At 40.6% G+C, this 22,377-nt stretch overlaps 1 protein-coding gene and 1 long non-coding RNA gene across 44 annotated transcripts in view, besides 2 other annotated features; one reads left to right on the plus strand and one right to left on the minus strand.

The window, feature by feature from the left end:
* The window catches only part of ZNF438 (zinc finger protein 438), a 187,780-nt gene extending 178,746 nt beyond the window's left edge, over positions 1 to 9,034 (minus strand). For 34 of the 41 annotated variants that reach the window (NR_170659.1, NR_170660.1, NR_026560.2 and 31 more), the window contains exon 1: positions 8,456 to 8,488. The gene's annotated coding sequence lies outside the window, so the exon portion shown is untranslated. Of the gene's footprint in view, positions 1 to 42; positions 1,027 to 8,455; positions 8,489 to 8,625 lie in introns of those variants that run through there. The other 7 variants (XM_024447871.2, XM_011519372.3, XM_047424729.1 and 4 more) reach the window with 6 other exon arrangements.
* Positions 8,150 to 8,709: a silencer, noted in NCBI's record as "silent region_2271". NCBI's record gives its function as "represses an Ori minimal core promoter by ATAC-STARR-seq in GM12878 lymphoblastoid cells {active_cell/tissue: GM12878}" and the evidence as "EXISTENCE:reporter gene assay evidence [ECO:0000049][PMID:35858748]".
* Positions 9,035 to 9,130: 96 nt separating the features above from the next.
* Positions 9,131 to 22,377, plus strand: part of LOC105376481 (uncharacterized) — a 123,422-nt gene continuing 110,175 nt past the window's right edge. For 2 of the 3 annotated variants that reach the window (XR_001747410.3, XR_001747409.3), the window contains exon 1: positions 9,131 to 11,924. This is a non-coding gene — a long non-coding RNA (uncharacterized LOC105376481). The remainder of the gene's footprint in view (positions 11,925 to 22,377) is intronic. The other variant, XR_930796.3, reaches the window with a different exon arrangement.
* Positions 15,750 to 15,950: a silencer, noted in NCBI's record as "peak918 fragment used in MPRA reporter construct". NCBI's record gives its function as "represses an SCP1 promoter by STARR-seq MPRAs in K562 erythroleukemia cells {active_cell/tissue: K562}" and the evidence as "EXISTENCE:reporter gene assay evidence [ECO:0000049][PMID:32103011]".

Raw genomic sequence — 22,377 nt, forward strand, 5'->3', positions numbered from 1 at the left:
AATTTTTAAAGCATTAATATATTTCCACAAATAATATATTACCTCTTGAACTACATATAAAAATAATCCTTGAGGCAGCCTGGGTTCCAAATATATTGTCCTGAAATTGATAGACAGAAAACAAGTGATATTTGTACATCCATTTTTCTTTTAAGTTTCAGAAGAAAAGCAAAATCAAAAGTATGTTATATTAGCGCCATAGCTAACATCAACATGTTTGACATAAAAAGTACGTATTCTTCAACTTCAAGAAAGGAAAAGATTGTTCTTTGGCTCTAGTCCTAAGCTGGAAACAAGTAACCACAAAACCAGTTTTAAATCTACCCCAGTCAATCCATCCTTAAAGTCTACTCAACCTTTCCACTTAAGCACTTTGCCAACAAAGTAAGCCAATCAGCAACTGCCCCGCTTCAGTACCTTTGCTCCTCAAAGCCGGTCAGTCTCTAAACTCTAAGTTTAAAGCTGGCTAATCCTTAAATTTTTGCACTTTTCAAAATCAGCCAATCTCAAACTCTGTGCTTCCTCAAAACCCTACATAAAAACGTCTCTGCCTGTTTAAAGGACTGTCTTCTGCAAGCACGGTTCTCCCCTACCCAGCAAGTATGGTTTACCAAAACTCAGGTAAGTTTCTACTTAAGTCAAATTAGAATAGGCTTACAAACACTGAATTACCAATGATTCAAGTGGCAACATGAGTTTCAAGAAACCTAATTAAGTTAGGCAAAGATTCTGTGAATTTATCCAGAAATTGTCAGATTTATTTATTGGAGAATATCTGAAGACACAGAATAGCTCAGTGGAAACAGCCAAACTACATTATGAGTTGGGTGGCACTGAATAGGTTATTTAATATCTCTAAACCAACTTCTTTTTCTATAAAATGAGAGTAATAACTCTATTTCACAGTATTGTCAAGAAGATTAAATGGGATAACAATAACTGGTAACTTTAAAAGATTCCTAGGTACGGCCGAGCGCAGTGGCTTACGCCTGTAATCCTAGCACTTCGGGAGGTGAAGGCGGGCGGATCACGAGGTCAGGAGATCGAGACCATCCTGGCTAACACGGTGAAAACCCGCCTCTACTAAAAAAATACAAAAAATTAGCCGGGCTTGGTGGCGGGTGCCTGCAGTCCTAGCTACTAGGGAGGCTGAGGCAAGAGAATGGCGTGAACCCGGGAGGCGGAGCTTGCAGTGAGCCAAGATCGCGCCACTGCGCTCCAGCCTGAGCGACAGAGCGAGACTCTGTCTCAAAAAAAAAAAAAGATTCCTAGGTATAAAGTTCTAGATTTGCTTTCATCACTAACTTATTAACACATATGGAAAGTCATTTAACCTAAGTCTGTTTCTTCATTGGTCTAATAGTGAGGATAATGCATGCCCTACACATTTTATGGGCTGTTTGTAACAATCAAAAATGAAAATTAATGTGAAAAGGATTTTGACAGATATAAACCATGAAACTGTGAAATAGCTAATTTAACATATACAACAATAAAGGGAATTCACACTAGGAAACCTGTTACAATCCAGGATTATATAAAGTCCAGATTAAATTAATTTTAGTAAGAAAAATATTCATAGCCAAAAACAAATACAAAACCACTAGACACACTAGCAACCAAAAAAATTCAAGGCTACTATTATTAGCTCCAAGAATTATTTCCCATTCAGTAAATGAACCAAATTAGCTCAGCTATCCAACAAACTAAAAGCAGTACAACACAATCCTTTGTCCAAGTCAGGCATTTGCCACTTAAAACTACCACCTCCATTTCTAAAGCAAAAAAATAAAAAAATAAAAAAGGAGGAACAGAAGGAAGGAGGGAGTGAAGGAAGAAAAGATATTACAGAATTTCTCAACATCAGGAGTACTGACATTTTGAACTGGATAATTTTCTGTTGTTGAGAAGTTGTCTTGTACATTGTGGGACATTCAGTGACATGCTATAATGGCCTCAATCCACTAGATGCTAGGAGTAATGTCCCCACACACAAATGTGACAACCAAAAATGTTTTCTAGACATTGCCAAATGTCCCCAGAGTGTGTTGGAAAGTAAAAAATCATTCTGAGTTCAGATTCTTCACAGTATCATCTTCCAGTATTTATTTCACACTGCTTGGTGGCTTGCAATGCAGACTGAAATTAATAGCTTTGCAATTGAAGAACCAAATAAGAAAATACTCCCTGTAGAATAGTAACAACTTGAAGAATAATAGCTACGTAGTTATGGTTAAATTATTCCTTTCATCGACATACTGGTTTTGCTTACTATTCCCTAAGAATTTTCTTCTGGGTGTTCTTTTGGGGTTAAAACTTGGTTAACCTGTCACTAAAGCTTAGTCTCCACCTAGACTTACTAATTATTAGCCATTAGTGTAATGTGTTAAAATCAAACCTAAAGATTTTAATTTTTAAGCAACCAAATGTGAAATGAAGCAAAAATAAGTGCTACTTATATAAATTATTTAAATATATTCAAACATTTAGAGTGTAAAGTACACAAACAAGCATCCAGCTACTACTACAAATATATATGAGTTGAAGATAATAATGCAAAAATAAAAGTGATTGCAAGAAGTAGAATTTTGACAAAAACAAGAAATGGGGAAAGGATTCCCTATTTAATAAACGGTGCTGGGAAAACTGGCTAGCCATATTGAGAAAGCTGAAACTGGATTCCTTCCTTACACTTTATACCAAAATTAATTCAAGATGGATTAAAGACTTACATGTTAGACCTAAAACCATAAAAACCCTGGAAGAAAACCTAGGCAATACCATTCAGGACATAGGCATGGGCAAGGACTTCATGTCTAAAACACCAAAAGCAATGGCAACAAAAGCCAAAACTGACAAATGGGATCTAATTAAACTAAAGAGCTTCTGCACAGCAAAAGAAACTACCATAAAGAGTGAACAGGCAACCTACAGAATGGGAGAAAATTTTTGCAATCTACCCATCTGACAAAGGGCTAATATCCACAATCTACAAAGAACTTAAACAAATTTACAAGAAAAAATCAAACAACCCCATCAACAAGTGTGCAAAGGATATGAACAGACACTTCTCAAAAGAAGACATTTATGCAGCCAACAGACACATGAAAAAATGCTCATCATCACTGGCCATCAGAGAAATGCAAATCAAAACCACAATGAGATACCATTTCACACCAGTTAGATTGGCGATCATTAAAAAGTCAGGAAACAACAGGTGCTGGAGAGGATGTGGAGAAATAGGAACACTTTTACATTGTTGGTGGGACTGTAAACTAGTTCAAACACTGTGGAAGACAGTGTGGCGATTCCTCAAGGATCTAGAACTAGAAATACCATTTGGCCCAGCCATCCCATGACTGGGTATATACCCAAAGGACTATAAATCATGCTGCCATAAAGAGACATGCACACGTATGTTTATTGTGGCACTATTCACAATAGCAAAGACTTGGAACCAACCCAAATGTCCATCAATGATAGACTGGATTAAGAAAATGTGGCACATATACACCATGGAATACTATGCAGCCATAAAAAAAGGATGAGTTCATGTCCTTTGTAGAGACATGGATGAAGCTGGAAACCATCATTCTGAGCAAACTTTCACAAGGACAGAAAACCACACACCACATGTTCTCACTCACAGGTGGGAATTGAACAATGAGAACACTTGGACACAGGGTGGGGACCATCACATACCAGTGCCTGTCGTGGGGTCGGGGGAGGGGGAAGGGATAGCATTAGGAGACATACCTAATGTAAATGACGAGTTAATGGGTGCAGCACACCAACATGGGACATGTATACATATGTAACAAACCTGCATGTTGTGCTCATGTACCCTAGAACTTAAAGTATAATTTAAAAAATAAATTTAATTAAAAAAAGAATTATATTTAAATGCTCAGTATGTACTATCACTGGGCTAGACACACTGTTTTCAACAATAAATCTTCATATATATAAAAGTACTCATAAAATAGTTTAAAATTTGCTTGTGCAAATGTAAATTTTAAAAGGAATCTGAATTTTATTTACTATCTAGGATGTTATATTTCGCATGGTCAGTGTTAGAAACAGAGGGTCCTGTTGTTTTCAGATAGAACTTACCATCACTCCCCCTCTGCTGGGAGCTACCTGACACAATTAAATAACCATCAACCTGCCCTCACTGTGCCTGAACTTAAAAGTCAATAACACCTGAGCATCAATAGGCTATTGACTATGCAATTTTACTTTATACCATATATGGGTATCTGATGTTCCTGGGAAACTAACTGCAAATGTGGTGTAAATAAAGACTAATCATTTCAACTCCATTAAATGTAGGGAAGCTACAAGAGCAGATTTAAAACGTTGTGAACTGCAAAATGAGATGGCACCCCTCTACATTTACGTTAGTAGAGGGCTTCTGTTTAGAGTAATCATAGATCTGGTTATTTAGATACTTTCCCAATGAAAGCTTAAAACAAAATATAATTTTATATATTTTTAAAAATTCTGAAATTAACCATAAAATCTACGGCAGTGCAATTTTATATAATTCTTACATGGTTTAAATTTGAAATACTCATGTTAGGAAGTAACAAAATTGTGACAACTGTTGAGGTTATGGTATGCCATGAAAGATCTACGGGAACAAGACACATCTTTTTTTGTTTGTATTTTTCTAGTCTCCATGTTCTACAATGATCCAGCTATACGAGATGTAATCTGCAATTCCACCTACAATATATATCACCAGATCCCCTTTCTATGACAAAAAAAAAATACATGTCAATGTTAGAGATGGTCAGCAAAGAAACTCAAACTTATTCCAATAGGTGGAACTTTGGCATGACACACTTAAACCGGTGGAAACCTGCCTGAATACTTCACCCAACCCCTCCATCACCCTCTATTATGCAAGCTGCAACATTTCAAGCCAACTCCCTTATTTCTCTGGTGAGCCCTGTCAACACTGAGGTAATAGAACTGGAAAAACTCATCACTTCAAAAGGACAGTCAAATATCAGAATTTATTTCATTTGGTAAAAATTCTATCATTGCCAAATAAAGCTAATGCAAATATAGTAAAATATGCATGATTTTGAGTAATTCTTTTGTTGAAAAGGACTCTTGGGGAGCCTCAACTTCATCCTGCAACAGCTTAGGCATTCTTTTGCCCCTTTGCCCTTTTCATGCCCCATCTCACAAGTCATGGAAGCTGGGGAGGGGAGGGTGCAGAAAACCCAAATGAACTAATCGGCATGTATTTATGCATTTAGTCTACTCTAATTTTATTCCCACAGGTTTTTCCTCATACCCTGCTCCTCTAAGGTAAAGAACTGTTTTATTCATCTCTGAACTTCCAAAACCTAACCAAATGCCCATTATATAAAGTCATCCCTAACATCTACTACACAGCAGGCACTGGATTAGGGACTAGAGATAGAGAAGTCAAAGAGACAGACCTTGCCCCTACGGAACCTACAGTGGGGAATACCAGATACTGGCTGCATGAACCCAGTCAGGTCGTAATCAAAGACCAGTTAGCACAGTCCCACTGCCTATAATCTTTCTCCCACAGACAACCAAAGCTTAGATGAAAAACAAAAGCATGCTTTCTCTTCAGAAAAATAAATGGGTATCTCCAACCCTGACCACTCCCCTGAGTTCCATATTCACAGGCATGCATACTCAACATGTTCACTCGGAGGTGGTTACAGGGATTCAATGCATGGACTCCAAAGCCACAATGCTTAGGTTTGAATCCTAGCTACATCACTCACCAGCTGGGTGACTTCAGACAAGTCACTTATAACCTCTTTTTGCCTCTATTTTCTCGTGCTGTAAAATGGGGACAATAATGGTTCCTTGCACATATAATTCTTATGATGATTAAATGAATTAATATAGGTTAAAGTACTTAAAACCCTGCCTGGGACTCAGTTTACGCTTACATAATACTATTTTTACTAGCACTGTTGTTATGACTATGTCTAACAGGCATTTAGAACTTGTGCAAAACTAAATTTGTAATTTTCCTCAGTAAACAGCACCACTATACTTCTAGTTGTTCCAGCCTAAACCTAAAAAATCATCACTTCTCCCTTTTCTTCAAATTCCACATCAGCTCGTTTCCCGTCAGCTCTACCTTCAAAACGTATCACCAATTCTACCGCCTACCATCATCTCCACAACTAACCTCCCCCAGCCCAAACCACCATCATTTCACCTGCAGGGCACAGCAGCTTTCTCCCGATTTTCACTCCATCCGACCCACTCTAATCTACAGTTAATTCTCCATACAATAAAACTTAAATCAGACACCAGTCCCTTGATGCAAACCTTCCAATGGTTTTCCATCACAGTTAGAACAACATCTTTACTTCACCACAGCCTACAAGGGACCCCACGGCCTGCCTGGCCCTTGACCATCATTGGCCACTACTTTCCCCGTTCCCGGCTGTGCTCTAAACACTCTCACTGTGTCTGGACCACCTCAGAGCATTGTCCTGTGCTGTTCCTGCTGTGAGGCCGAAAATACAGTCACCTGGAGCCTGGACTCTGAAGTCAGACTGCCCACGTTCAAATAGTCTCTACCACGTTTTAGCTGTGCAACTTTGGCAAATTCTTAACCTTTCTGTGTGTCAGTTGCCTCATCTATGAAAGGGAGATACTAGGTTACATCAAAAGACTTGTAAAAATTTAATTTAGTGTTCAGAATAGTGCCTTACATATGGTAAGCTCTACTTTTTTTAAGTGTTCATTGCTATTAATTATTCCTCTCTGAAATGTTCTTACCTCAGGCTCTTTCCCTCACACTTCAAGTGTCCCTGCCTTTGAATGGCTTTTCCTGACAGATCCCACCAAAAACAACCTTCCCTGTTCCCCCACTGTCCTCCTTTCTTCCTTCCCTTCACTGCACTTATGACTACCTGAAATTACATTATGCACGTATTGTTCGTTGTCTATTTCCCACTGCAATATGAGCCCTGCTAGGTTGGAGGCTGTCTTCTTTGCTGCTCTATTTCCAGAGATTTCTGACTCACATCTCATCCAGGCTAGGGGACCAATGCGAATCTCCTAATAACAATAGCACACTTAGCCTTTCATTTGCACTCTCGTGATCTCATTTGATCCTGGAAAAACCAACAAACAGATAAACCATCGGCTCTCATTTTAGATAAGAAAAACAAAGTTCCAAGTTTGCGTGACTTGTCCTTGGACACGAAGCTAGTTAACGAATAGAACAAAAATTAGAAGCCCTGCTTTCTGATTCAAAGGCTCTTCCTACCTGGATGAAAAGATATCACACTCCTGAAATGAATTTACAGAAATGTGAACTCTCGAGCTCCTGTATAAATACACCCTGAAGTGTGCACAGTATTCTTCCCTTCAAAGTTCCTGAAGACTACTAGTCCCGGAGTTTGAGAGGCATTATAGTCTAGTAATAACTAATCGATAATGTAGTACCCCTTGACCAAAATATTCAAGCAGTCAGATACGATGATTGGATATTCCAAATCGATACAGCAATCCTTAAAACTCAGTGAGTCTGTGTTGTCTATAATGTGCTAGTTCCAGCACACTGAAAGCTTCCTCTGCAAAACCCAGACAACGGGGGCATTGTAATTGCCAAGAGTACCGTGCTAACGATACCTGTTATTTCTTGGGATCCCCATTCTATCAAGTTTAGTGACAACAGTTCGATCACCCAACAGGCTCCAGTGTGGTATAGAATCAGATGGAGGGAAGGTTGTCGGGGGGAGGCAAAACAGTGAAAAAGTTCCCCTTCTACAAGATTCCTGGTCAAATAGCCAGTGGCTACCACATTCCTCAGAATAACCAAGTGTCTGTGTATAAGCTTTCTCCTAGCAAATTTACACACTTGTGTTATCTCACGTGTTCCTAGTGCTGTGGGAACAACCATTAGGGAGGCCAGAGGCTGCTGTACCTCCCTTTTACACAAAAAAGAAAACTGAGGCAGCAACTGGTTATCTTATAAATGTGTCCACGATGACTTGGTCACTTGTGGGATCCCAACGGCCAGGACATAGGATTCCTATTCTCTGAGAGGAAGCTTCCATCCCCTACTTAACATGTCAAACTCCAAGGCTGAGAGGGGGAAGAAAAGGAATCTAAGTCCCTTTATCACGGAAGAAAAAAAGGGACTCTCCATTTGGACTTTCCGCCCCTTCTAAGGCCTCGCTCCCAGGCTCGGAGACGCGCCCCGCCCCAGGGGAAAAGGTGCTGGCCCGGCCCCACGGGGCGCGGCCTCGCCTCCCGCACCCCAGGTCCCTACCGCCCAGCAGGGCGCGCTGCCACTCTGAGCAGACACCTGTCCCTTCGCCACAATCGGCGACTCCCCAAGGAACTGACGCCCCCAGAGCCACCACCACCGCCGGGACTGCCAGCTGCCAGCGGGCCCCGCAAGCCCTAGGAGCTGCAGGAATCCTCGTAAACTTACAGTTTTCCTACAGCGTGCGCGTCACAGCGGGGTGACGTCACGGGCCCAGCAGTCGGGGAGGTCAAGCCACGGGGCGCGGGCCGCTGGGCCCCCAGGCTCCGCCCTCGCCCCGCCCCGGCGCCGCGGCGGGAGACACGCCCCCGAGCTCCACGCCCTCGAGCTCCACGCACCTCCCCGTAGCAGACACCCCGCGCAGGCGCAGACGGCCTCTGCGCCCGCATGCCTGTGGGCTTCGCCGACCGGGGCGCCTGCGGCGGCGACTGCTCTACCAAAGCCTCACTCAAAGCCTGAAGTCGGGGTTAGAGGAGGAGGAGGGGCCGACAAAAGGGGACGGAGACCTTCAGAAATACTGTAAACAAGCTGTCGCCCTGGGGGCTGGAGTAAGACGCCTGGGTTGTGAGGTAGTTTTTCCACAGACATTGCCCGCCTTCCTCACGTGTTCGTTAAAAGTTCTCCACGTGTGGAAACAGCCATTTGCTCTCCATCAGGTGCTGGCGGGTCCTCAGCCCTGAAAAGACAGCTCTCCCAGGGTCCCTCGCTCCTCCCCGGCTCGACGCGGCTCCCGCTAGACTCCGCCCAGACCCCGAGCAGTCCCCGCCCATCTCTTGACTATGCCCCTCCCACGCCCACTTAGGCCTTGCCCCTGGGTCCCGCCCTTCCGGCTCCCGCCCCTGGCTCCCGGCTCCCGCGGGCCCCCACCTGCCCTTCTTGCCCTGGCGCCGCCTCCAGCCCAGCCCGTTTCTTGCAGATTTTAGCTTCTCCCTTGCCTGCCGCCTTTCCCGTTTCGGCTCGGTGAAGCTACCTATGGGTTGCTGTTCATTTAACAAACGGTGATCCGGATAAACATGTTCACTTCTTCGCCTGGGCAAACTTTCCAGCCCCCGACCCACTCATGTCACGATACCTTCCCGTGTCCAAGTCCGGCTCTCTGCTCCCCACTTTTTTTTTTTTTTTTTTTTGAGACAGAGTGTTTCTCTGTCTCCCAGGCTGGAGTGCAGTGGCGCGATCTCAACTCACAGTACCCCCTGCCTCCCGGGTTCAAACGATTTTCTTGCCTCAGCCTCCTGAGTAGCTGGGATTACAGGCGCGCGCCACCACAGCCGGCTAATTTTTATGTTTTAGTAGAGACAGGGTTTCACCATGTTGGCCAGGATGGTCTCCATCTCTTGACCTCGTGATCCGCCCGCCTCGGCCTCTCAAGGTGCTGGGATTACAGGTGTGAGCCGCCGCGCCCGGCCTCTTTGCTCTTTTATACTCTCAGAAGCAATGAGTTCTGGTTAAAAAAAAGGGCTCGATAGACGGAAAAAATGAAGGCTTAAAGAACTGACAACAAAATATTAACATTTGGCTTGTGGAATTCTTACACTCTCGTAAGCAGAAAAAACAAATGTTATGGCAAAAAAGTGTCTCAGACAAATCCGTCTTGGGGGGAAAAAAATTAAAAGAATGAGAAAAACAGACTTCGGAATAAATAGACCCAAAGGAGGAAGTATTGAAAATGGCAAGATTCACTTTTACAAACTTATTTGGAACCACGGCAGATGGCCAGGGCAGGGATTTTGCAAGGCAGCTCCAGTTGTAAGTAAAACCTGAAACAATGGTTTATTTCCACTCTCATTGAAAGTGCTGTCTTATTTTTACAGGAAAGAGTGATGATGGGAATATTAGGCTTTAATTCGAGATCTGAGCTGGTTAAAAATAAAAACGTTTATTATTCCAGAAAAATCTACGTCAGTGTTTTTAAATGTTCTGATTTGAAAAAATATTTGTATATTTTATCTGAATATTAGTTATTATCAAATGATGTAAAAGAAATTTGTAAAGGCTGTACCATAATTGTAACAATAAGGTTTTTCTGTAGAGCAGAGGTATAGAAAAATTAACATTTTTTAAAGTCCTGCATATTTTTAAAACAGTGATATTTATGTTTTTCCTTGCAAAACAATTTTAAGAAACCTTTAAATTGTTAATAGTTTACATGCTTATAAAATGTTTTATATATATCATTTCTAAAAATCGTAATTTTTTTAAGTGAGTTTCTAGGTATACCTTATGGGAGTGTTTCACAGGTACATGTCATCTGTTATTTTTTGGAGTGGAAATGGGTAAGAAGCATACACCAAATGTATCAAATGTTTTTACTATAGATACTTTTGCCTCTGAAAGATGGCATTGTAGAATATAGTCTTCTCATCGTATTGTTCAGTATACTTTCTCTTGAAATCTCAGGTATTCAAAAAAAAAAGTCGTTGTTTTGCTAGATGCAGGAAAAAAGTAAACGCAGTGAACAAAAGATGGCCAACAGTAAAGGTACCCAAGCAAGGATCACAGTCTCAAGGAATGTCAAGTAGAAATTTGTGGGAAAATACCACTCACGTTCAGTCAACTTTCTGTAACAAACTGGAATTTGACCTAGACAGGAAGTGAGAAGCTAGGGCCAAAAGTGTTGTTATTAAAGAGAGGATCTGCTTTTTTAAAGAAAATAAAACCCTGGACCTTGGAGGTTTAGCACTGGAAGCACTGAGGCCCTCCACTATGGCCCTTGGGCTTTCAGTTCCCCCTTGTGATTCTTTCTCTTTGATATCTGCTGCCCATAGCAATCTGGCTTCCAGAGCCCTCTATGTCAATACACACATCTCTTCCCTTGGTCCTGCTTAGCAAGCTAAGAAAAGCTGAATTAAGACAAAACAGAGTACTTAATGTATGGGGAAAATAAAAGTGAAAGAAATATAATTCCTAATATTTCCTGAGTATTGATTCTGTGCCAAGCATTGCATTATTTCCTTGAATTCTTGCAACTAGATAAGAACTGTTACTATCCCCATTTTAAACACAAGGTAAGTAGGTTAAGTGCCCATGTCACACAGCTGCTGAGTAACACAGTCAAGATTCCAGACTTCATACTTCAGAACCCACAGCCATAACCACTAATCTGTCTCAAGTTTCATACAACCAGGCACAAATTATGCAAGAAACAGAGGGACTTAGGAAGTCCAAAATATGGACTTAGCTCTAAAATACTGACCACAGTGTATGGGTATCTTCTTCACTGTTTTCCATCCCATCTTTGCATGACTGCTTTTATTTGATTTTTTAAGGTGGTCATCATGACCCAGTAAGTTGATTTTGTGATCGGTTAAAGGGTAGCTACTCAGAAAAACACTAATCAGAATCCAAAATACAAAATATCAGATTGTATCACATGTAATAAGGGTATTTTTTTCCCAACACAAATTAGGGGAAACTTTCAGCCACATGTGTGTATTCTGGGTTGCAACGTTAAATGTATTTCATACTATGGATTTCAATCAAAAAAAATTTGAAAAACACTATTATAACCACGCCTTGCCTAACTAACATGCATCATTTATCCTTCAGGATCAAGACCAAGGGAAACAAAATCCCATTCTGCAATCCCCTTACATTCCTCTCTTAAGTCCCAGGATCTGGTTTGATGATCTCTTCCCAGGTAATTGACATAAAAATCAGGTCACTCCTGATTAGAGATAGGCCCTTGTCTCCAACTCAAACCCAAGAATATACTAATAACAACAAAATAACCATCTATAAAACAAGAGTTACACAGGTTAAAAGGGGGCTTATTCTGCCAAAGGAGCAGAGATAGAGACTTTGCTGGAAGAAGACCTGGGACAGAGATTGGAGAGCTCTGGAGGGATGTCTGTTTAATAACAGTCTTACAAGTCTGCAGTTACACAGTTTGCACAGTATTTCATCTCATTTTATCACCTCCCTTCCCTCATCATTTTACTTAGCTAATTCTCCCCAATCCTTTAGGTCTCTACTTTGCAGGAACTGACTCTGAGAAGCCTTCCCTAAGCAGCTTTGGCTCTCTGCATTGCAAATTATTTTAATTGCTTCTTCTCCTAGACTGTAAGCTCTGTGAGAATAGGGGAAATGTGAGTCTTAACCTCGAATCCTCTACATGTAGTATCCCAAATAGATTATCAGTTAATATGTGTAGAGGAATGCGTGGTGAATGGATGGATGAACTCGAATTCAAAGACTGGGTAGCTTTCTTACTCAAGATGCTAGTTATTTTCTAAAAAGGGGATACTGTCAATAGAAATAATTCTGATGAGAAAATTCCTTTAGGAGACAAGTCATTTTGAATGGCAATGCAGCATAACATAGTAAAGCACTGAACAGGGCCAGCTCTGTTATTAACTGGGTACTTTATGGCAAGTCCAGTAACTTCTGCAAGCCTCAAATGGGGTTAGACTTACTAAATATTACTTATTTATTTTTGAGACAGGCTCTTGCCCAGGCTGGAGTACAATGGAAAGACCATAGCTCACTATAACCTTGAACTCCTAGGCTCAAGGGATTCTCCCACCTCAACCTCCTGAGTAGCTGGGACTGCAGGCATGCACAACCACATCTGGTTATTTTTACTTTTCATAGAGATGACATCTGGCTGTGTTTCCCAGACTGGTCTCGAACTCCTAGCCTCAAGCAATCCTCTCGCCTGGGCCTCCCAGAGTGCTGGGATTACAGGCATGAGTCACTGCTCTGGGCCTCACTAAATGTTATCCTTGATGAATGTCCTAACAGGATGTTATCCCTCTGGTAACTCGGAAATCAGAGCAGGCCACCTGGAGCCTTATTTACATGAGGTCTCCTGAAAGACACTGACAGCCACTGGGGGATAGCAATTAATTCTCTTAAACAAAGGATGTTAGACAAAGGCTGTCCCCAACAAGAAGGGGTGGAGGGAAGCGAGGAGGGAAATGGAAAGACAAGGAACCTGTGTCCTTGTTCTGAGAAGCCCAGTTCTTGATTTGAGTACAGGGCCTGGAGCATGCTTCTGACTGTAAAACGGAAAGAACCAAACTGTCCTTGTGCGTGTATTGGGATTGGAGAACAGGGAAGAAGGTACAGGAGAAAAGATACCAAAAAGATTTCTGGCCAGGCACGGTGATCATGCCTGTAATCCCAGCACTTTGAGAGTCCTAGGCAGGCAGATAGCTTGAGACCGGGAGTTCAAGACCAGCCTGGGCAAACCCCATCTCTACAAAAAATACAAAAATTAGCCGGGCATGATGGTGTGCACCTGTGGTTCCAGTTACTTGGAAGGTGGAGGCAGGAGGATCACTTGAACCTAGGAAGGTTGAAGTTGCAGTGAGCCATAATTATGCCACTGCACTCCAGCCTGGGTGACAGAGTGACACTTTGTCTCAAAAAAAAAAAAAAAAAGATTTTTAATTCCTCAAGGGAAAAAAACCTCGCCAACTACATCAAGACATCATAGCAGACAGGCAGAATGTTCCAGAAACAGTCCTTTAGGCATTCTGTTCTTCCCTGGAATCTGCTTGCTTTCTTAGCCCTTGGCGAAGGTCTACTGATTCTTGGAGTTCAAATTCTATCATTAATTACCTCTGCTGATAACAGCCAGCCTTTACTAAACTGGTACTAGATCTAAGACGTCACAGAGCACTCCATATGAAATCTTTTAATCTTCACAACTCTATGAGGTAGCTACTATTATTATCTTATTTTGCATATGAGGGAAAAAAGTGAGACCCAAAGCCATGGGTCACTGCTGTGGACTGAATGGTGTCTCTTCTGCCCCCAACCCCCCAGTTTGTGTGTTGAAGTCCTAACTCCCAGTGTGACTGGATTTGGAGACAGAGTTTTTAGAAGGTCCTATGCTTTAGATATTGGTGTCCCCTCCCAAATGTGTGTTGAAACTCAATAACCAATGTAATAGCATTAAGAGGAGCCACCTTTAGGAGATGATTAAGTCATGAGGGTGGAGCCCTTGTGAATGGGATTAGGTGCCTTATCAAAAGGCATGATAGAGGGAGTTCATCCTTTCTTGTCTGCCATGTGAGGACACAGTGTTTCTCCCCTCTGGAGGATGCAACATCATGGCACCATCTTGGAAGCAGAGAGCAGCCCTCACCAGACAAGGCAGTCTGCTGCTGCCTTGATCTTAGACTTCCCAGCCTCCAGAACTGTGTCTAAGTAAATTTGTTTATAAATTACCTATAGTATTTTATTATAGTAAGACAAATGAACTAAGGAGGTGAGATTAAATAAGGTCATAAGGACGAGGCCCTAATCCAATAGGATTGGTGTTCTTATAAGAAAAAGAGGAAGCAGAGTTCTCTCTCGCCACAATGTGAGGACACAGTGAGAAGGCACTCATCTGCAAGCCAGGAAGAAGGCCTTCAGCAAGGAACCAAATCTGCAAGATCTTGATTGATATTGAACTTTTCAGCCTCTAGAACTGTAAGAAAATAAATTCCATTGTTTAAGCCTCAGCCCAAGCGTACTAAGATAGTTACATTGCTTAAAGTAATCTGACTCCCCCTTACAAACTTTACTGTATCTCCCTGCTTTGCCCAGGTGGTCAGATCATTTCTTCTCCCTGTTCTTCAACACAACTTCTCCTATAACGCATACAGTATTTCTTCACTTAAACACACTTATTTTTTTAACATTGAAGTATCTCTGAAATTAGAATTCATCTTGAAATTGAAGAATATCATAGTTTAATTTTAGGAGGTAAAAAAAACTAATGGTTTCTTATAATTGGTAGCACCTTAGATTGAGTAACACATATTATAATTGTTTATGCTTCTTTTGCCCCCCCTCAGCTATGAATCCTTTGAAGACAGACACCGATTTACTCAACTTTGTGTTCTTAATACCAAGCACAGTTTCTGGCACAATAAAAAGGAATTTTACAAATTTCTTTAATCCAGTTGAAGAAGGAAGGTCATCCACCCAATGGGGTGATGGGTGGGTAGAATCTAGGAGTCAAAAGTCATTACTGTTGTCGCCAAAACTCATGGATGTCCCCAAGACCTTAATGGCCTGTGAAAACAAAGTCACAACTTCTCTGAAGTTTATCCCAGTTAAGTTCTATCTGCCTCTAAAGGCCTGTAATTTCTCCCCTTGGCAATTAATTCAGCAGGTTCCTTCTCTGCTTGACAAATTGTCATTTATTTTCCATCCTTCATGTTTGGTTCAGGCCATTTTTAATCCATTAAGGCAGTTATATTAATGACAAAGTAAAATTTTAAAATCTGATTTTGCAAACTCAAGTCTAATTGCATTTAGAGTTTAAGTGGAAGGTGGCACTCAGCTCTCAGAGGTGTTTGGTCTGATTCATATTGTGTTTTTTAAATTTTGAAATGAATATCAGAAAACACATTTAAAAAGCAAGTTGTATTAGTACATTTTCAGGATGCTATAAAGAACTGCCTGAGACTGGGTAATGTATAAAGGAAAGAGGCTTAATTGACTCACAGTTCTGCATGGCTGGGGAGGCCTCAGAAAACTTACAGTCATGGCAGAAAGAGAAGGGGAAGCAAGAACCTTCTTCATAAGCAGCAGGAAGAAGTGCTGAACGAAGGGGAAGAGCCCTTTATAAAACCATCAGATCTCGTGAGAACTCACCCACTATCAGGAGGACAGCATGAGGGAAACTGTCCCCATGATTCCATTACCTCTACCTGGTCTCTCCCTTGACACATGGGGATTATAATTCAAGATAAGATTTGGGTAGGAACACAAAACCTAACCATATCACAAGTATTTTGGCTTTTTCTGAAAAATCAGAAGCTCTGACAGTGTTGTTCCCCCACTCACTCAGGGCATTTATTATTGGAATGAGGCTGCCTGGTTCAAAGGCACAGATGTTCCACATTTTCCTGTAACCCCAACTGGGTATTATTTAACCTATCTGCCTGGCTCCTGAAGGCCCTTGAGTTTATGATGACTCTTAAGTGAAGAGCTTGATCATTTAAGCCTCCAGCTTAAGAATGATCATAAAACCTGCAAAATGAACAGCTTTGCCCAGAAATTCATTAATGTTGTACATGAATTCATGATTTTTAATAGTTACATTTGCCCCTATGAATAGATTTTTCACAATTTTTATATCTATCTTCTGGAGAAGGAACTTTTTGTGCATTAGGAATTACCTGTTAAGGTGTCAACTTTTGCTATTTAAACAAAAGAGAAAAATACTTAATAAAGTTGAAGTGTAAAATAGGAAATTGGGTTTCCAGTGTGGCCCTGCATGTATAATGTTGTGTTGATGGCACTCACAGAACACACAGTCCTACCTAGCTAAGAGTCCCATGTGTTTCTTTCCCTGGGGCCCTCTCTTCTCACATAACACATGAGAGAAGGGAGGTGAATGTTTGTTAGCTATCATGTTCACATTTTATTTTATGCCACAAATGGTAATAGCAGTCACTTTCTGATTACATTTAAAACTGAACTCCAAGGCTGCACAGAATGTGGGTATCTAATTCTTCTGTTATTATGGTGAGAGTCTCTTGCCTAGTCATACAATATGTGCTACTATTGGTATTATTAATGTTAGTTGGGATAACTTCTTAGTGAATGAGAGAACACTAAGACAACAGGCCTAAACAAGATGATTCAAGCTTATTTTATTTAAGAATGTCTGGATATAGGTGGTCCAGGATCAGTTTGCCCAGGGTGAGGCCTGGGCCTCAGGCTCCTTCCATCCTGTTGCTTGGTCATGCATGATCTACATTCCCAAAATCACCAGGATTTCAGCCTAGCTCTGGTGATCCCCCAGCCTGTAGGAAGGAGAAGGGTCAGAAGATTCTGCCCTTGAACTCCTTAAATTCTACCTGCTCCAAGAATCCTTTCTCAGCTAGTTGAGAGATTAGATTGGTAATTTCTCTTAAGAATTAACTAGAAACTTACTTTTAGTAGAGTTTAGGCTGGATGTGGTGGCTCACACATGTAATCCTAGGACTTTGGGCGGCTGAGGGAGGTGGATTATTTGAGGTCAGGAGTTCGAGACCAGCCTGGCCAACATGGTGAAACCCCGTCTCTACTCAAAATATAAAAATTAGCCATGTGTGGTGGCGTGTGCCTGTAATCCCAGCTACTCAGGAGGCTGAGGCAGGAGAATTGCTTAAGCCCAGGAGGTGGAGGTTGTTAACAAGATTGTAAGGTGGAGATTCTAGATATAAAAACAGTAAATTAGGGCTACCTGACAAACTTTAAAAGCATTTCTCAGGTGCTGCTGTTGGTCCAGGATCCATACTTGAAGAACCATTGCATGTCTGGGTGCAGTGGCTCATGCCCATAATCCCAGCACATTGGAAGGCTAAGGTAGGAGGATCACTTGAGGCCAGGAATTGGAGACCAGCATAGCCAATGTAGCCAGATCTCCTCTCTAGAAAAATAATTTGTTAAAAATTAGCGACAGAGTGAGACCCTGTCTCAAAAAAATGAGTTACCAGTGGGTTCACACACACTGCAGGTTTTGTCAATGACTCACTTGTATACAGAACCATAAGAAGTATGTGTGCCCAGGAGAGCTGGACTTCAGAAAGCCCAGGTTAGGATTCTGGACAGACAATCCTGAGGCCAGATCTGACTCAGAGGCATGAGACTTCAGGTCTGTGAATGGACTACATGGGCCTGTGGGCTAGGATGACCAGGCGTGGCAGCCACCAGCACCAAAGACCAGAGGCTCTTCCCCATTGTTTATGGGTTTGTATACAACCCCAAGGACGGGGAATGGGAACCAGGAAAAAAAAAAAACATATATATTGCATGGCAGCCCAGTGTTTCTTCTTCCCTCCCTGCTTCTCTTCGCTTCCTTACAGATATTGTCCCCAAAATTATTCCCCATATGAATTCCGGCATGCAAATCACAGAGTTTCAGAGACCGTTTCTTAGGGAGTCTGACCTGCTGTAATCTTAAAGCTGGTTATGTCATTTCTCCGCTTAAAACCCTTTGCGAACAGACTAAAGTATTAAGTCCTTAATTTGGCACAGAAAGTTTGGCTCCAATCCTTCTCTCTCTCTCCTCAGCTTCCTCTGTCACCATGACTCTGTCCTTCAGGCAACCTCATATCTGCATCCCCAAATCCCTGATCCCCATTTCTTTGCATATGGTCTTCTGTCTGCCAAGGATAAATTTCCCACCTTCTGCTTATCCTTCTGTTCTTTCTTAAAGGCTTGAATCAGGTGTCACCTGCTCTGGGAGGTCTTCTCATTTTTCCCCATAGCACCATACAACTCTTTGTATAATTTGTAATACCATCTAAAATTGAAACTTATTTATGTACCTGACCCTCCTACTAAGCCATGAGTGCCTCTAGGTAGAGTTTATATCGTTGGCCCTATGCTCTCTTCTGTGCATTGTAGATTCTCAATATAATTTTGGTGAATGAATGAATAAATGCATGAATAATGAATGAATAAACACCAGGATAAGCTGGACACTGTTAAAAGTATTAAACATTTGGAAATTTGTGCCGTACTTAGTTCCTGGTATCTTATATCTAGAATACCATGTATCTTCTTTTAGAGTCTATTTTTAAAAAATCTTTGAGATGATGGACTACCATGTTGACCAGCAGCAAATCTAAGTATACATTTCAAGACAAAATGAAATCCAAACCCCAGATCTTTAAAGCTAGTTCTGTTTATAAAACACAGGGAATGGAAAGGGCTAGGTGTGGAAACATGAATGATTTCAGAAAAAATAAGAGAAAGACCTGATTAAATTGGGTTGGCTGGTGAGAGACTGGAAATTTTCTTTCCATTCCCAAGAGGCTTATTTTTTTATCTTTCTTTTTCACACCGTAAAGTGTCAAATTAAATTGCAAAATTAATTCTCATCACTAAGGAAGGGATTCTAAATGTATTAATTAAGGATTACTGGGCATTTTAATTTTATTCATCAGAATGAAAACTTTTAAGTAATTAGAATTATTTTTTCACTTCTCCATATTTATTTTATTATGCAGTATTACAATTTACCATCCATACTTTATACTCTAGGTTCCAAAGCCTTGGATGACTATTTTAAAATAAAAGTTGTGTATATTAATATCTTTGATTTTGTGAATTACGATACTGGAGTTCCCTTGAGAAATTATGTTCTTTTTTCTTCAAAGATAAGGTCCTTAACAGGATGAGATCTTATCTTGCATGAAACCATGAATTCACTGTGGAGAAGAATGATTTGGATTTCACTCTGGTAGAACATGAAGTACCTTTTGAATCTTTTACTGTCTCAGTGATTTATCTTATGCATGAACGTAATCTTTAGCATCTTTCAAAACAGATTGCTCTCTCTTTATAGAAATTGAACAGTTGTTCCAGAAGGAACTCTAATGGGAAGAAACAAAATTATTTCTTTCTGATAAGGTAACAATGTAAAAAACAAAGTAAAATGAAAATGATATCTTTGAAAATCCAAGAATTTAGTGATTATGTCAAAATTAATATTTTCATATATATATCTTTTTTTTTTCTTTTTTTTTTGAGACGGAGTCTCGCTCTGTTGCCCAGGCTGGAGTGCAGTGGCATGATCTCAGCTCACTGCAAGCTCTGCCTCCCGGGTTCACACCATTCTCCTGCCTCAGCCTCCCGAGTAGCTGGGACTACAGGCGCCCGCCACCAGGCCTGGCTAATTTTTTGTATTTTTAGTAGAGACGGGGTTTCACTGTGTTAGCCAGGATGGTCTCGATCTCCTGACCTCATGATCCACCCGCCTCGGCCTCCCAAAGTGCTGGGATTACAGGCTTGAGCCACCATGCCTGGCCCATATTTTCATATATTTTAAGACAGTGAAGTGGTCATTGAAAAAGTTCAAAATTATACTTTCTTTACAAATGAATGTTGACAAGACTGTAAATTCCAAATTGTGAAAATTTAATCTGAAAAACAAAATTATAATCCAATTTAAAATTACAGCATAAGTTTCTTTTTCCAAATTTGATGTCTTTTTTTTTTTTTTTTGAGATAGAGTCTTGCTCTGTTGCCAGGCTGGAGTGCAGTGGTGCAATCTCGGTTCACTGCAACCTCCACCTCCCGGGTTCAAGTGATTCTCCTGCCTCAGCCTCCCAAGTAGCTGGGAGTACAGGCACCCGCCACCATGCCCAGCTAATTTTTTGTATTTTTAGTAGAGACAGGGTTTCACCATGTTGGCCAGGATGGTCTCAATCTGTTGACCTCGTGATCTACCGGCCTCGGCCTCCCAAAGTGCTGGGATTACAGGTGTGAGCCATCACACCCGGCCTGCTCTGTCTTTTAACATTTAGTTGGGATCCCTCTGCTACTTTCACTCAGTAAATGAGCTATTCTAATTCAGAGATAATATTAAAAAAAATAATTCCATGGGAAGGGAACAATGTTGGAAGTTATGATTCTTGAAGCAAAACTAAACTGTAGTGCTTCAAATGGCACCAACAATCAGTGGTTTTTTTAAAACGTTAAATCATGGCTTTGTATTAACAAAATGAAAGCTTTAGTTTTTTATATATGGACAGAGAAAATATGTGCGTAGAAGCACAATGTCCCCTTGTCACCTTGATGAACAGAGATTATTATTAACAAAAATGTAATACAGGCATACAGAGAGTCTGGAAATCTGTCTGTGAAGATTTAAATCCTGGCAGTGGGTAGCAGCTGTTTTAAATTTAAGAGGACAGGAGTGAGTTAGCGACATTTTGTAATAAATGAGCCCTCAGCACACACCAATTGCTGGTAAATTCAGAAAATGATAAACATTCTTCTTGAGCAAGAAAGCAAGATAGGAAACACACCTGCAAAGACTCATTTTCGAAACAGGAAAGATGTTGTTGTGGAACTGAGACATTTGCTAAAGTTTCTCCATTAGTTGATTTCACCTTTGTCTTCCATCTTTTTCCATTCAGGACCATCTTCAAATTTCAATAGTTCTAATGAAATCTGAGATTTTGATAAAAACACACAAAACACAAAAAACCTTGACAGCTCTGAAGTATCAACTTCCATTTTAAAACTAGCAAAGCATCCAAAGTAATTTTTTACTATTTATTTGATATAATTTTCTTCCTTTCATCTATACATTTTTTGTATGCAAAAATAACATTTTTTGAACAATCAACAAAAAATCAAACTAGTAAATTTTAAAAATGAAAAAATAAACTGTAGAGAAAACTGAGCAGTCCCTAAGCCATACATTAAAGGGGCTTTTAACAACATATTAACAATAAGTGTATGTTTTACGTTTTCATCCTTTGGTTGGCATTCCAGAGAGCTAGTAAGAAAACTTTGAACAAACTTCTTCTTTTTCTTTTTTTTAATTAATTTTTTATTGATACATAATATTTGTACATACTTATGGGGCACATGTGGTATTTTGTTACATGCATAGAATATGCAATTATCCAGTCAGGGTGTTTAGGGTATTCCTCACCTCCAGTATTTATTATTTCTTTGTGTTGGTAACATTTCAAGCCTTCTCTTCTAGCTGTTTTGAAATATGCAATACATTGTTGTTAACTATAGTCATTTGACTCTGCTATGTAACATCAGAACTTATTCCTTCTATCTAACTGTATGTTCATACCCATTAACCAACCTCTCTTCATCCCTCCCATCCCACACCCTTCCCAGCCTCCGGTAACTATCATTTTACTCTCCACCTCCATGAGATTAACTGTTTTAGCTTCCACATATGAGTGAGAACATGTGATATTTATCTTTCTGTGCCTGGCTTATTTCACTTAACATAATGACCTCCAGTTCCATCCCTATTGCTGCAAATGACAGAATTTCATTCTTTATGGCTGAATAGTATTCCATTGTGTGAATAGTATTCCATTTTATTTACCCATTCATCTGTTGATGAACACTTCAGTTGATTCTATATTTTTTGCTATTGTGAACAGTGCTGCAATAAATACGGGGGTGCAGGTATCCCTTTGATATACTGACTCCCTTTCCTTTGTATAAATACCCATTAGTGGGTTTGTTAGATCTCATGGTAGTTCCATTTTTTTGTTTGTTTGTTTTTGAGAAGTCTCTGTACTGTTTTCCATAATGGCTGTACTAATTTACATTCCCATCAACAGTGTCTGAGCTCCCTATTCTATATATCCTTGCCAGTTTGTCTGTTATTTTTT

The sequence above is a fragment of the Homo sapiens genome, chromosome 10 (genome assembly GCF_000001405.40).
Source record: "Homo sapiens chromosome 10, GRCh38.p14 Primary Assembly".
Lineage (NCBI taxonomy): Eukaryota > Metazoa > Chordata > Mammalia > Primates > Hominidae > Homo > Homo sapiens.